Source organism: Homo sapiens, chromosome 6 (genome assembly GCF_000001405.40).
Source record: "Homo sapiens chromosome 6, GRCh38.p14 Primary Assembly".
Taxonomy (NCBI): domain Eukaryota; kingdom Metazoa; phylum Chordata; class Mammalia; order Primates; family Hominidae; genus Homo; species Homo sapiens.
In genome coordinates, this window is record NC_000006.12 from 33,743,689 (window position 1) to 33,757,502 (window position 13,814).

Sequence of the window (13,814 nt, forward strand, 5' to 3'; positions counted from 1 at the left end):
GTGCTGGGGGACTTCACACATCACTTTCCCAGCCGTGGCTGAAATATGTGGCTTAGGAGAGCATCTCTTCCCTGGAGAAGGCTTGGTTTCTAGAATCACAGAGCAATACTTCATATTCCTCAGTCATAGAAACTTATTTCGGGGCTGATTTTATCCTTTGAGAGGGTTTTTTTTTTCTTTTTTTTTTCTTAACATTTAAAATCTCCCAACATTTCTCCAGCTTGAGGACCAAATACGATTTTAATACAGAGATTATTAGTTTAGAAACCCTTCAGCCACTGACAAATGTACTTAGCAGCACCAACAATGTTCTGATCTTGCTGTCAAGGTGGGAGAAACATGGGGGCAAGATGACTCACGAAGTCAAGTGCCACTGGAAGGGCTGCTCTGGGGGAGGCAGAGGCTGCGAGGGCTTCTCCCTCTTGGCCCCCTAATAGATCCTGACCCCTGGACACGCAGCTCCTCAGCCATGGTTAGCAACTGCTTTGACAGCCCCTCCCAGCCATGCTTTTCTCCTCCGGACTTTGCCTCTTGAAGCTGCACCCAGGATTTTGGATATTGCTAAACACCCAGACCTGCCTACACATTTCCCAGCCTCCAACACCCTGCCCCACACCTGCTGCCTTCCTCTAAGTAATATGATCAGCCACCACCTGTCTTGTGCAAGAGACCTATGAGCCACAGACGTAAGGTGTTGCCAGCGGTTAGCATGGCAGTTTTATGGTTGCAAGATGGAACAGCTCTTTAAGGTCAAAACACAATAATGGGATGGAGTGTGTGTGCGTGCATGTGTTTGTATGTTTGTGTGAGTGTGTGTGAATGCTTGTGCGTGTGTGGGAGTGTGTGGCTGAGGGAGAATGCAGGCAAGGTTTTTCCCCACCAGAGGGCAGCAGCACACACGTTGAGGCCCCAAATGCCTGAGAGGGATTAACTGGAAACTAAAGCCAGCACCCACCTCCTCACCCAGCCACTGGGGGACACATTCTTGGAACTGCCCTAGGTTTGCCTGGCTTTGCCCAGACCTGTCCCAGAGAGCCTCGATGGCAGCTGAAGTTCTGCCTCCACCAGGCAGATGTTTTTGAAAAGCTCAGAAGCCATCATTGAGGTTGGATTCTCCCCATAACGTTCTATAACATCTCTTGCCCTCCCCTCCCACTGCTTAACCAGGGTCAGGGGCTGAAGGGGAGGGGGTGGGAATGGGCTGGGGGTGGTGGGGCACTTGAGAGCCCATCTGGGCAGAGCAGGATGGGGTCTCCAGCGATCTCCACCCCATCTGTCCATCCCGCCCAGGCTGTGGCACCCTGGTGGGTGGGTGAGGCCTCTCAGCTGCCAGCTGGGCCTCCCAGCCCCGGATGAGTTGCAGTAACTATTATTAAGGTAACACACTGCAACTGCAGCCCGCGGGCCAGCACGCGCTGCCACCCTGCGCCTCCCCAGCCAGTGCACGTGCTTTCTTCCCTGAAGGACCTGATGCTCATAAAGTTTATTGCTGTTCCCTGTGGCTGCTAGTGAACAAGAGAGCAACCATCCGGGTTTCTGCCTGGGAAGGATTTATTCAGGCTCTGTGGAGGGCAGGAGAAAGAAGGAGATGCCGCTGGCCAGGGGGTGGGCTTGGCCTGGCCTGTGACCCCCGGAAGCAGCAGAGGACAGGGAGGGCCCCAGAGGCCACAGGAGCATTGAGGGGCAGGGATGCAGGGAAGTGGCCCAGGAGGGGACAGGAGACCTGGTTCTGCCTCAGGCTCCCTGAGCCTGCCTCTCGGGGCCTCAGCTTCCCTATCTGTACTGAGAGCTGTCTGACCCTGCCATGTTCTTACCCTCCTATGGGACAACCCCCCCTTTGATTCAGCAAGGCAAAGTGGTGGGGAAAAATCACCATGGTGGGGGGTCGGGGGGCTGGCAGAGGCTCTTTCTAATTGAAAGAGATTTAAGAGACCTGCTGACCCAATGCCTTTTGACTGGATCCTTTTCTAACAAAACATTAACAGACATGTAGGGCCAGCTGGGGAAAGGAGACTGCAGACAGGATGCAGACGCTCATGGGTAGTTGTTCATTTGTTAGTGGACAGTGGGTTATGTGAGGACCTGCTGAGGACTTTGTGCAGGGGAGAGGCGTGCTGTGATGTCAGAACACTCTAGCTGTAGCGTATTCAATGAAACAAATACGACAAAACTCGGGCCACTGCTGAAATCAGGCGCAGGATGTACAAGTGTGCATGAGATCATTCCCTCTATTTGTATGCTTGAAGTTTTTCATAATAAAAGGTTAAAAAATAAATGGGTAGCTTTTTAAAAATGTAGAAGGCAGAGTCCCTCCCTATGGGATCAGAATTTCAGGGGAAGGGGCCTGGCATGGGGGGTTTAAGGCCCCCAAGGCAAGCTCAGTTCTCAGGTTCACTAGGGTACCTAGAAGAGTCATGGGTGGGGGCCAAGACTCCACCACTGCCCAGGGCATCAGGGACCACCGTTTGGTGGAGACATGTCTCCCACCCCCATGACCGCCATCCCGTGGTCTACCACCACCCTGCACCAGGCCCCAGGCAGCTGCTGTAGATGCTGATGTCATCCAGCCTGGTGCCGGCCTCCTGCCCCCTCCCGTGGAAAGCTGGGGCTGCTGGGCTAGGACATGCTGTTCCTGTGCCCAGGGGATGCTGCCCGCGTTTCTTGGACACCGGCCTCTGTTAAGGGTTAACGCAGCCCCCGGTACTTGCCCCTCCCCCCAGCTTCCTCTGTAGTCCCAGTCCACCCTGAAGTGAGAGGGCTCCAGGCACCCCTGGAAGGGGAGGGGTGGAATTCCCCTGGGAGAAGGGAGAGGGATGAAAGAGGAACAGATGCCAGAATTCCTATACACTGAACTGTCCCAACGCCCTACCCCACCCCCGCCACACACAGATGGACAGACCTCCACGAAGACGCTGGCACCTCCGTGGGGCAGACTCCTGGCCAGCCTGGAATGGAGACAAGACCCCAGGGTACAGACAGGCCCTGTGAACACGAGACCCTCTCTCCCCTCAGTCAGGCCCCGTCAAAGAGGCTGGCCCTGCCCATCCCTGCCTACAAGGCAGCACTCACCAGAGCTTCCTCCGAGATCGTGGGGAGTGTATGGAAGGCAGGGCCCAGGAATCTTGTCTCTCAGTGCCCACCATGTACAGGCATCAGGCAATGGCCCGTCCCAGCGTGGAGCATTTGCTGTTCACCAGAGCCCTGGTGCGGGAGGTCTGCCCGGGAGGGCCGGGCTGCCGTGGCCTGGGGAGGGAAGGGTCACCTGACCCTCTGGGGAAGGGCTGGTGGGGACTGGCATGTCCAGCTGTCAGCTGGGTGTTCTGCTGCTCTGGGGCAGGGCCAGAGGGGCTGGAAGGGAGGGGACAAAGAGGAGGAGAGAGAAGAGGGGAGGAGGAAAGGAGGACTGGTCTGAGGCAGGGGAGAGTTCAGCTCAGCTGCCCACGTAGATGTCAGGACCTGGGCACCAAGGGCCCATCACCCCAAGGCCCTGGTTATTTTTTGATTCCTAATTCAAAAGGAAAGGGGTGAGTCTCGGGTTGGGGGGTTCATGCTCTCCCTTCTGCTGGGCTTCTTGCCCCATCCTCTCTGCAAGAACCTCACTGCAGCTTACCCCATACTGTGGCTGCCAGAGAAGGAAAGTCAGGCGGCAAGACGTTCCATCAGTCAACAGTCAGTTAGACTGAGGACAATCAGGCCATCAACAAGCATTTTTTGAGACCCCCTGCTAGGGCTGACCAAGCACCCCCAGTGTCAGGGGATTACAGCTGGGGGGCTCAGCAAGTCAGAGGGCAACTCCAGGATAAGTGTCTGGTGAGAGAATAGAGGACTTTGCAGAGAGTGAGGAGGGCATCCTGGAGGAGCTGACCGGCTGAGAGCTGAAGGAGAAACAGGGTCATTTGGTTGAGTGGGGGAGGGTGGTGAGAAGGGGGCTCTAGCTACAGGAGAGGCTGTGCAGAGGCCCAGAGGCCCAGAGGCCCAGAGGCAGGTGGGAGCAGGGTCAGGGAGGTGGAAGCTGCAGGGAGTGGGACTGGGGAGAGATGGGGCAGGGACGAGGTGGCCTCACCAGCCTCTGTCCTCAGCCTCTGGGAGGAACTGAGGTGCTTTATGCCAGGAAGAGTCGGCTCAGGCTTGTGTTTAAAACTCTCAAAGGTGGGCAGACAGATGCTGTCCTCTGGGAGAGTCCTAGCCTGGTTGGGAGAGGGGGCAGTGTGGGGAAGGAGACGGCGAGTTCCTGAGATGTTCAGGAATCAGGCTGGTGGACCGGGAGAGAGGGGGTGGGAGCAAAGGACAGGGTTCATCAGGGGACAGGCTTCAGGTCCAAGTAACCCTGGACCAGTATTAGGAAGATCAAGCTACCCTGGACATCTGGCTGAAGTTCCCCTGGGCACTGGTGCCCCACCTGCCTTTCCTGGGCTGCTCCATATGTGGATGAGGGGCTCAGCCTCCTCTCTGGCCAGAGATGCTGCTTGCTCCACTCGGGCCCAGGTTGCCCACTGGTCTGGTTCAGCCTCTCTCGGACTCATCCCCCAGGACCCCCTTACCCATCTTCTGGTCCCTCCAGACCTGTTGGTGTAGTACTTACTCCATTTCCACATGTCCATGGAGAACATGTTCCAGGACGGCCCCTTCTCCCTCACCGCTCATTTCACAGAGGTAAGATGGGGCAGGTGGACTGAACCCATTCTCCTGGCCCTCACCCGCCAGCCATTGTCCATTCAGTGCCCTCTACGCCCACTTCAACGCTCAGCACAGCAGGAGCCGCTCAGCAGATGTGTTAGCGGCAAGAGAACAAGGGGTGGCTGGGCACGGTGGCTCACACCTGTAATCCTAACATTTTGAGAGGCAGAGGCAGAGGCAGGAGGAATGCTTGAGCTCAGAAGGCTGAGGCTGTGGTAAGCCATAATTGATCATGCCACTGCGCTCCAGCTGGGCGACACAGAGAGACCCTGTCTCCAAAAAAAAAAAAAAAAAAAAAAAAAGCCTCCCGTGATGGGGAGGCTGCAGCCTGTGTGGGGCTACCTACCTGCCCAGCTGCCTTCGGGTGGCTGAGCTCCTCTCCCATCTCCACTGTGTGGATGGACGTGGGCCTCCCCACACCCAGAGAGGGAAGAGCCCCACAGAAATAACAGGAATTCCTGGGGTGCCCTGAAGCCTGGTTTAAAGTGGGGTGGGGATCCGATCCTCCCCTCCCTGCCCCCTGACTCCCCCCTGCAGGGTGACTGACTGATCACATTTCACCAGGGAAGGCACATGGCCTCTTGTGTGCTCTGTCCCTCCCCCTGCCCAGCTGTGTGCTGGGCTCCGGTTACCTGGCCCTGGAAGAGGGTATGACCTCCTTTCCCCCCAGCCCTGCGCCACCTCTCCTCTCCCTATCAGGCTGGACTCACATCCCTATTCTGGGAATCCCAGAACCACCACAGGGATGAGCAGGAGGCCCTTCAGGTTCTAGAGGGGGAAGGACTTCCCACTTGAGCAAGATGGCCAGTGAGTGCCCTGGCCCCCAGGTCTCCAGGAGGGCCTGTCCACATTCCACCACCTGCTTTCTGCGTTTGTTTTGCTGCTGTTGTAAAGAGCAAGGTTCCATATTGACTTCTTATTCTTCTATTTATGTAACAACATTTTCGAGCCCTTAATATGTGATCTGAGACATACAGCAGTAAACACACACAGGGCCCCACCGTCCAGAACTGGTACTTTCCTTATGCAATCAAATAGGGCACTTTATTTCTGTTTTCCAACTTCAGCCAATTTCTCTCCATGGTCGTTTCCCCAAAGCTCAGCTTCCCTTCCAAGATGCCTGCTGCTATGCATCTTTCCATAGCCATGTCTGTGACCCACCTTGCTCCCTGCTGCTTCCTAGTCAGTGGGGCAGATGGCCCCACTGACTAGGAAGCAGCAGGGGTGCCACCACTCAGGTCCTCAGGGACAGACAACCTCTGCAGGCCGTGTGTGTGTGTGTGCGCGCGGCCCCGGGAATGGGAGGTGTGAGGGGAGCCACCATGCCCACCCTATGACCATGATCAGTAGAAGCAGGTTAGGGGGAGGGCCGGCCCTGCCCTGAGCTCTTCACACACTTTATCTTGTTTGGTCCTCACAATAGCCTTGTGAGGGAGGGGCCATCATTCCCCTCATTTCACAGTGGAGGAAACAAGAGTGGCCTAGCCTGGTCCTGACTTCTGGAAATCAGTCCTGACCAGCGTGGCACTCACTATTCTGTGGACTGGAGCATCCTAGGCCAGCCCTTAGATGCCACCATTCGGAGGAGAAAACCCCTTGGGCTCATAGGCATGCACTTACTATTTGGTGGGCAGGTCTCTCTCTGGCCAGCTCCCCCTTGGCCTCTCCCTCCCCAGCCTGGACTGACCTTTGAGGACTTCCCACTTCACTGCTGCCTTCCCTGGCTGTTCATCCATCACTATGTCCTGTGGATTTCATGTCCCAAACATTTCTCAAATTAGTCCCCTTTTCTCCATCTCTATGGCCCTGGCCTGGCCCACCATGTGGTCATGGATGACTTCAGTAGCTCCTCATGTTCTCCCACATCTCTTTACAAGCCTGCTCCTACAAGCCATTCTCCCCAGAGTGATGTTTAGAAACAATTCAAGTCACGTCACTTTGCTGCTTAATACTCTTCAGTGGCTCCATCCTTAGAATAAAGTCCAAATTTCACCCCCAGCGTTCAGCCCCTGCCCACCTCCTCAGCCCCACCTCACACCTGGTTAACTCCTCTTCATCCTTCAGATGCCAGCTCCAGCTCCAGTGTCACCACCTCCAGGAAGCCCTCCCCGCCCTTTCTGACACAGTCCACCACCTCGTCCCTTTTTTTAGAAGTGCTTATGCCAGCTGTAGTTGCATATTTATGTGTGTGACTTGCTCCTTGCCTGTCTCTCTTCCTTGGGGATGGTGACTTGGCTCAGTTTGCTCAACGCTATGTCCTCAGCATGTAACCCAGCGCCAGCCTTCCAGTACTTGTTTGGTGAATGAATGAATGAGTGGATAAACACGTGGACACATTCTGGGTCTCTGGCTTTCCCTCCTGGGCTCGCCATGCTCTGGCTTGCACAACAGCGGTTTCCTTTCCTCTCCCTGACCCCAGTTAATGGGGGCCTTTGGCTCGGTTGCTGTGGCTCTGTGGCATCATCCCTCCTCAACAGCTGCCCCTGTCCCTGCTCCCATGACCCAGTGTTCCTGCCCTAGAGACAACAACCTCCACCTCATTCTAGGACATGTCATCACCCCTTCCCACAGTGTAAACATGGGTGGCGGCTACAGACCTGCCCAGGTTCCAGTAAAGCCCCTCCTCCCATGCTGGGCTCCCCTCTCGCTGCACCCCAGCTTGGCATAGCACCTTCCCCTTCCTTCTCCTCCCCGCCGCCCCACTCCCTAGAAAGTGCAGGATGGAGCATGCCCTGAGAGAGGTCACTGTCCAGCCCTTTGCAGCAAGGGGGGGCCTTGTGGCTAGGCGGCTTGTGGCTTCCCTATCATCACATCCCTGCTGGCCTGACCTGGCCCCTAGCTCCCAGCCCCACCTGGGAGCTTCCAGCCTGGGTGTTGGATCCAGTTCAGGTCGTTGCATCAGAGCCTGCCCTGTCGGGCTCCCCAACAGCTGAAGATACTGGGGTAGAAGGGCCGGCCCAGACCACTACAGCCGGGAATGTGGGAGGATGAGCTGTTGAGCCACAGATTGCAAAATCTGGGAGGTGATAAACTCTCTCTGGAAGGCAGATGGCCCCACTGACTGGGAAGCAAGGGTGTTACCACTTAGGTCCTCAGGGACAGACAACCTCTGCAGGCCGTGTGTGTGTGTGTGTGTGTGTGTGTGTGTGTGTGTTTGGCCCCGGGAATGGGAGGTGTGAGGGGAGCCACCATGCCCACCCTATGGCCATGATCAGTAGAAGCAGGTTAGGGGCAGAGGGCCGGCCCTGCCCTGAGCTCTTCACACACTTTATCTCGTTTGGTCCTCACAATAGCCCTGTGAGGGAGGGGCCATCATTCCCCTCATTTCACAGCAGAGGAAACAGAGTGGCCTAGCCGGGATTTGAATCTGGGGCCCCCACTCCTAACACGGATTCATTTTCCGGCAGCCCTCGGTCACACCTTGGTGCAAAGACACGTCTCCACCCAACGGGGAAGGCACGGGTCACCCCTCCACTTCCCCAGCCAAGCCCGGCGCCATGTTTGGGCCTGGAGAAGGCTGGGAGGAGGGGAGGAGATGACTGCCCCTGCATGTGGACACAGGCTGGGGACTTGGCACTGGGCTAGCTCTCCCAGCAGCGCTGGGTCATTCATCCACATCCCCCCAGACCACACCACATCTGGCTGAGGCCCAGGGAAAAGATATCCCTGCTGAGGGTCACATGGGGAGCTGGGACGCAGAGGACCCAAAGCTGCCACCTCCCAGGCCAGGACAGTGCTCAAGAAGTCAGGTTCTTGTGGACTTTTAATCCACGCAAGAGCCAATGTGTGACATTGAGAAGCCAATTACACGCCGTTGATACTCCACCCCGTGTCTCCTTTGTCCCACAAACAATCTGTGTGTAACATTTACAAGGCCTTCACGGTGGCTGACATCAAGGACTGCAGGAGGAAGGTGGCCAGCTGGGGCCCCGCCCTGCCCACTGGTCCTTGGAGAACTTTGCTGCCTTCTCTAGGGTGGAGGGCCTCTTTCCTCAAGAGAACAGGCTGCCACCTGCCTTCCAGGCACGAGGGGGAGACTGGGAGGACCCTGCCCTGAGCATCTCCCCAGGGCATGCCTGAGCCTGCCACTCTTGTTGGTTTGACAGCTTTGTTGGCTCTGCTCAGAGCAGTCCTTTAGAGAAAGAAAGAAAATCCTGAAACACCACAGCTGGAGGGGCCCTGAGAGGCCACCTGATAACAGTCCTTTCATTTTCCAGGAGAGGAGAGACAAAGTTAGGCTGCAAAGAGGTGAGAGGCCCTGCCTGGGGTTGCAGGGTGGCTAGTGGATGAGCCAGAACTAAACCCCAGTCTCAGAATGGCCAGTTCCTTCTGCTGCACAGAATCCAGGCTGGACTGTGGATGTGGACTCACCTGGGCTCCATTCTTCACTCTGCCATTTCCTGGTGATGTGACTATGGCTGGGCGTCTTAACCTCACTGGGCCTCAGTTTCCTTATCTGTAAAATGGGGATAATTTTCTTTGGACTGTTGTGATGTTTCCATGATATAATGCAAGTAAAAAGCATTTAGCACAGTGTATCAAACAGCATTCCCCAAAATCTTGAGTATTGTTATTTTTTAATTTTTTTATATTTTAGAGACAGGCTCATGTTCTGTTGCCCAGGCTGGATTGCAGTGGCACAGTCATGGCTCACTGCAGGGCTCAAGTGATCTTCCTGCCTCAGCCATCTAAGGACACAGGACTGTGGATGTGCACCACTGTGGATTTTTTTGTAGAGTTGGGGGTATCACTATGTTGCCTAGGCTGGTCTGGAACTCCTGGGCTCAAGAGATCTTCCTGCCCTGGCCTCCCAAAGTGCTAGAATTACAGGCATGAGCCACCACGCTTGACCTATTATTTTTAATAACATGGGGCTTGGTCTCTGGAAGTGGAAATGAGGTTGTCATACTTTCTAACTGTGATTTCGGATTATGTCTTGACATGGTTATGTCGTGGCTCAGAATATTTGAATCTGGCATTGTCCCCCAAATCCAAGAGACACGTAAATTGCTGTGGGAGCAGAGGGTAGGAGAGATTAATCTACTTGCCATGGGGGTGGAGTGCAGGCCTCCTAGGGGAGAGGGCATCCAAGCTGGGCCTTGAAGGACTCCTGTAGTAGTCTCCAAGCAGAGAAGTGAATGAAGGGAACAGCAAGGGGAACAGCATCCACAAAGGCCCAGAGGCCTGGAAGAGCATGGCATTTCTGGAAGGCTTCAAGGTGGCTGGGGTGGGAGTGGGGATGGAGGCAGATAGGATACCTCATCTCTCCTCCCTCTCCAGGGGTGCCCATTTCAACTGAAGCCAGGACTGCAGCTCCTTGCCAAGACAACACTTTATAGCTCACGTGGACTTTTCCTCTTTCCACAAGGGATTGCCTAGCCCTGGCTTCCCAAAGTGCTGGGATTACAGGCATGAGCCACCATGCTTGGCCTTTACTTTATTTTATTTTATTTTATTTTTTGAGACAGAGTCTCGCTGTGTCGTGCAGGCTGGAGTGCAGTGGCGCGATCTCAGCTCACTGCAAGCTCTGCCTCCCGGGTTCACGCCATTCTCCTGCCTCAGCCTCCCGAGTAGCTGGGACTACAGGTGCCCGCTACCATGCCTGGCTAATTTTTTGTATTTTTTAGTAGAGACGGGGTTTCACCGTGTTAGCCAGGATGGTCTTGATCTCCTGACCTCGTGATCTGCCTGCCTCGGCCTCCCAAAGTGCTGAGATTATAGGCGTGAGCCACCGCGCCCGGTGGCCTATTATTTTTAATAACATGGATTCCACAGATGAGGACATAGAAGTCCCCAGAGGGAGCGGCCCCCCAGATATACCCAGCTGGGCCGGGGGAGAGCCAGGTGAGGACCCAGATGTGCAGAGTCTCCTGCTGGGGGTTGGACTTTCAGACGTGGGTGGTGGGAGCTGAGGAGGATTAACTTGGGGAATGGGGAGGTGCAAGGCGGCATCTCTCTGCTGGAAGGAAGGTGCGGGGCTGGGGCTGTGATTGCTGGGCAGGGATGATAGCCTAGGGGGCGGCCACGCGTGTTATTTATGGCTGTTTATTTGAGAGTCCTTCAGGGCCGCTAAAGTAATTGAATAAGTGAGGGTGAGCAAATGCGGGCGATCATTTAATTGTGGCAGAAAATGAAGTTGGTTGCAGCTGGGGGCTGCCAGCCCATTACTGTCGGCCCTGGTTTCTGCTGAGCTGGGCTGGCGGGGCTGAAGCTGCTATCCATCCTTGGCCTGCCCACACACTGTCCCCTGGCAGCTGGCCCTGCACCTGGGCAGGTTGGTGGTCAGGGAATTTGTTCTCTGGGCATCCCACTCCCCATGGCCCCATCTCTGCCCCAGGAAGGCCCCGGAGGCTGCTGTAGACAGTGAGGGGACTGGGAAGACCCAGGAGGGCAGGGGATGCTTGGAGCCTGGTGGCGAGAGCAGGGGTTCAGATCACAACGTCTGTAACGACAACGTCAGCAGACACATATAAAGCCCTTATTATGTGCCAGGCACTGTTACAACCATGAATATGTATCAACTCAGTCAATCCTCCAGTAACTTTGTGAGGAAAGTGCCATTATTATCCCTTGATTGCACAGATGAGGAAACTGAGACACAGGCTTCTGACTCCTCACACAGGGTTGAGAGTCCCCTGGGAGGTTCTGAGATTCTGGGGAATCCCCTGGGAAGCTGCCGCAGCCATCAGGTGAGACATAGTGAGACCTGGCCACAGGGGTCCCAGAGGGTCGTGGGGCTCTCTTGAGCCCTGAGGACCCTTAAGGCCCTGCAGACTTTCTCCCTCACACGTCTCTCTTATTTTAGCCTAGCTGTGCCCCAACTGCCTGCACCCCTGGACAAGGCCAGTGCAGAAACCCAGACCCCAAGTTCTGAGGCCGGAGGAGGCCACTTGCAGGCCTGGGCCCGCTCAGCCCCCAGAGCTCCTCTGGTGCCCTTTCCAGCCCCTGCAGGTGCAGATAAAATTAGGCCTAGAAGGCGAGAAGCCAGTTCACCTTCCCAGACTGGGGCAGTGACAGTGTCCCCAAGGCAGTGCCGGGAAGGGCAGCCTCGAGCAGATGGAGAGTGTGGGGGCAGGGTTGGGAGGCTGGGTCTAGACTGAATTGTCTAGACTGAATTGGAGGTGACCACAGGCAAGTCCTTAAGGTGGCCAGAGAGCAAATAGAAATACCAGACACCCAGTCACATTTGAATTTAATCCCGTGCTACTCACATTTCAGTGGGGTCCTGTGTTTTGTGTGGTGGCCCTCCCTGCAGCTCCAGGCCTGTTTCTTCACCTGCCAAGCCCGATGTACAGGCTGCCTGCCACACCCACTGGGGGTCCCCCCCGCTGTGAGGCTCTGGGGAGACATCGCCACATCTACTCATTCCGCACGCATGGCTGCACTCCCTCTCCAGGCCAGGCACAGATCTGGGTAGTGGAGTTAAGCAGGGAACAAAACCAATAAAAACCATTGATGTTAACTGGCAGACAGCTAAATTTTTTTTATTTTTATTATTTTATTTTATTTATTTTTTGAGATGGAGTCTTGCTCTTGTCACCCAGGCTGGAGTGCAATGGTGCAATCTCAGCTCACTGCAACCTCCACCTCCTGGGTTCAAGCAGTTCTCCTGCCTCAGCCTCCAAAGTAGCTGGGATTACAGGCATGTGCCATCATGACTGGCTAATTTTGTATTTTTAGTAGAGACAGGGTTTTGCCATGTTGGTCAGGCTGGTCTCGAACTCCTGACCTCAGGTGATCCACCTGCCCTGGCCTCCCAAAATGCTTGGATTACAGGCGTGAGCCACCATGCCCAGCCTAAAATTTTTTTAAAAAGTAAAACAAGTAGAAAGTAGATGGTAGTGTGGTAGAGAAAAAAAATGCAGTGAATTAATGATGGGGTGTATTGGGGGTTTCAGTGTTAAATAAGCGGGTCAGGGAAGGCCTGGCGGAGGTGTCTTTTGAGCAGAGACTTGAGGAGGTAGGATTGCCAGTGTGTAGATGTGGGAAGAGGAGGCCAGGAAGAGGCGCTGCAAGTGCAAAGGCCCAGGGGCAGGAGTCAGGAGGCCAGTGTGGCTGGAGCAGAGGAAGCCAGGGGAGAGAGGTAGAGAAGAGGGTCAGAGGGGTCTGTGTGTGTGTGTGTGTGAGAGACAGAGAGAGAGCGAGAGAGACTCTTTGGCTTCTCCTTTGAGTGGACAGGGGTCAATCCTAAACAATCTGTGAAGCTCAGTGCAAAATGAAATCTTGGGGCCCTTCTGAGCATGGAACTTATTTCGTGTATCATGAAGCCAGCCTTGGGGTCAAGGAATGAAACGGGGCCAGTGAGGATGTTTTGCATTTGTCAGGCTGGAGGTGACAGGGGTGCAGACAGTGGAGGTAGAGAGATGTGGCTAGACTATCCCCATTTTATAGATGGAGAAACTGAGTCCTAGGGGCTGTAAGTCACTAGCCTAAGAGCACACAGCTAGTAAGTGACCAAACCAGGAAGAAAACCCAGTTCAAGGCGTGTCCCCTGCTGTGTTTGCAACACCGTCTTGGTCTGCAGCCCCACCGCCACCTGCGGGGCACTTGTAGGTTCGTGCTGGCTGCACTCTTCCCAGTACGGGGGCCACAGGTACCTCCAGGTCTTCCTCTTCTAACTTATCTGTCCTGGTCTTCACTGCACTGCTGCTCGCCTGCTGCAAGGCCCCTCCGGCCACTGCCTCAGCCTTCACCTCTCACGTGGAGGACACCCTTATCCTCTGCACACCTGGCCTCTCTGAGGCACAGCCTTCCTCATGCCCCAACCCAGGCTGTGGCAGTTCCCCTGGTGATGGGGTGAGTCTGGCCCCAGTCTGAGAGCCCCTCCTCCCTCACCTCCCCACCTGCTCCCTGAACTTGGCTGCCCAGATATCCTTGTCCAGCGACTCCCTCCATCCACCTCTCTCCTCTTCTTGGCCTTCCCATGTTTTATCCTGATCAGCAGGCCATCTCCTCCAGGGAGCCCTCCCTGCTTGTGCAGCTGATGTTCTTGCCCTCTGCTGAGTTCCAGAGGCGCCTTGGTGCCACAGCTAGAATAATATTTATGTGTCGTAACACTAATGTAAACATGGGATGCTGAGTTAATAAAAACTGTAGTGTAAGTACAGAGGTGCCTTGGTTCCCTCCAATCTGCATCC

The 13,814-nt window shown here is 55.2% G+C and overlaps 1 protein-coding gene across 8 annotated transcripts in view, besides 6 other annotated features; it reads right to left on the reverse strand.

Annotated features, from left to right (window-relative positions):
• IP6K3 (inositol hexakisphosphate kinase 3) overlaps window positions 1-13,814 on the reverse strand; it is a 40,484-nt gene that overhangs the window by 22,027 nt on the left and 4,643 nt on the right. For 3 of the 8 annotated variants that reach the window (NM_054111.5, XM_011514295.4, NM_001142883.2), the window contains exon 1: window positions 3,070-3,217. The gene's annotated coding sequence lies outside the window, so the exon portion shown is untranslated. Of the gene's footprint in view, window positions 1-2,899; window positions 2,946-3,069; window positions 3,218-5,023; window positions 5,135-9,048; window positions 9,134-11,888; window positions 12,087-13,814 lie in introns of those variants that run through there. The other 5 variants (XM_005248842.4, XM_024446323.2, XM_024446325.2 and 2 more) reach the window with 3 other exon arrangements.
• Window positions 157-1,050: an enhancer, noted in NCBI's record as "H3K4me1 hESC enhancer chr6:33711622-33712515 (GRCh37/hg19 assembly coordinates)". NCBI's record gives its function as "activates a minimal SCP1, AML or CMV promoter by ChIP-STARR-seq in primed H9 embryonic stem cells {active_cell/tissue: H9 hESC(primed)}" and the evidence as "EXISTENCE:reporter gene assay evidence [ECO:0000049][PMID:30033119]".
• Window positions 816-945: a silencer, noted in NCBI's record as "silent region_17053". NCBI's record gives its function as "represses an Ori minimal core promoter by ATAC-STARR-seq in GM12878 lymphoblastoid cells {active_cell/tissue: GM12878}" and the evidence as "EXISTENCE:reporter gene assay evidence [ECO:0000049][PMID:35858748]".
• Window positions 1,051-1,943: an enhancer, noted in NCBI's record as "H3K4me1 hESC enhancer chr6:33712516-33713408 (GRCh37/hg19 assembly coordinates)". NCBI's record gives its function as "activates a minimal SCP1, AML or CMV promoter by ChIP-STARR-seq in primed H9 embryonic stem cells {active_cell/tissue: H9 hESC(primed)}" and the evidence as "EXISTENCE:reporter gene assay evidence [ECO:0000049][PMID:30033119]".
• Window positions 1,944-2,837: an enhancer, noted in NCBI's record as "H3K27ac-H3K4me1 hESC enhancer chr6:33713409-33714302 (GRCh37/hg19 assembly coordinates)". NCBI's record gives its function as "activates a minimal SCP1, AML or CMV promoter by ChIP-STARR-seq in primed H9 embryonic stem cells {active_cell/tissue: H9 hESC(primed)}" and the evidence as "EXISTENCE:reporter gene assay evidence [ECO:0000049][PMID:30033119]".
• Window positions 7,120-7,679: an enhancer, noted in NCBI's record as "H3K4me1 hESC enhancer chr6:33718585-33719144 (GRCh37/hg19 assembly coordinates)". NCBI's record gives its function as "activates a minimal SCP1, AML or CMV promoter by ChIP-STARR-seq in primed H9 embryonic stem cells {active_cell/tissue: H9 hESC(primed)}" and the evidence as "EXISTENCE:reporter gene assay evidence [ECO:0000049][PMID:30033119]".
• Window positions 8,238-8,796: an enhancer, noted in NCBI's record as "H3K27ac-H3K4me1 hESC enhancer chr6:33719703-33720261 (GRCh37/hg19 assembly coordinates)". NCBI's record gives its function as "activates a minimal SCP1, AML or CMV promoter by ChIP-STARR-seq in naive H9 embryonic stem cells {active_cell/tissue: H9 hESC(naive)}" and the evidence as "EXISTENCE:reporter gene assay evidence [ECO:0000049][PMID:30033119]".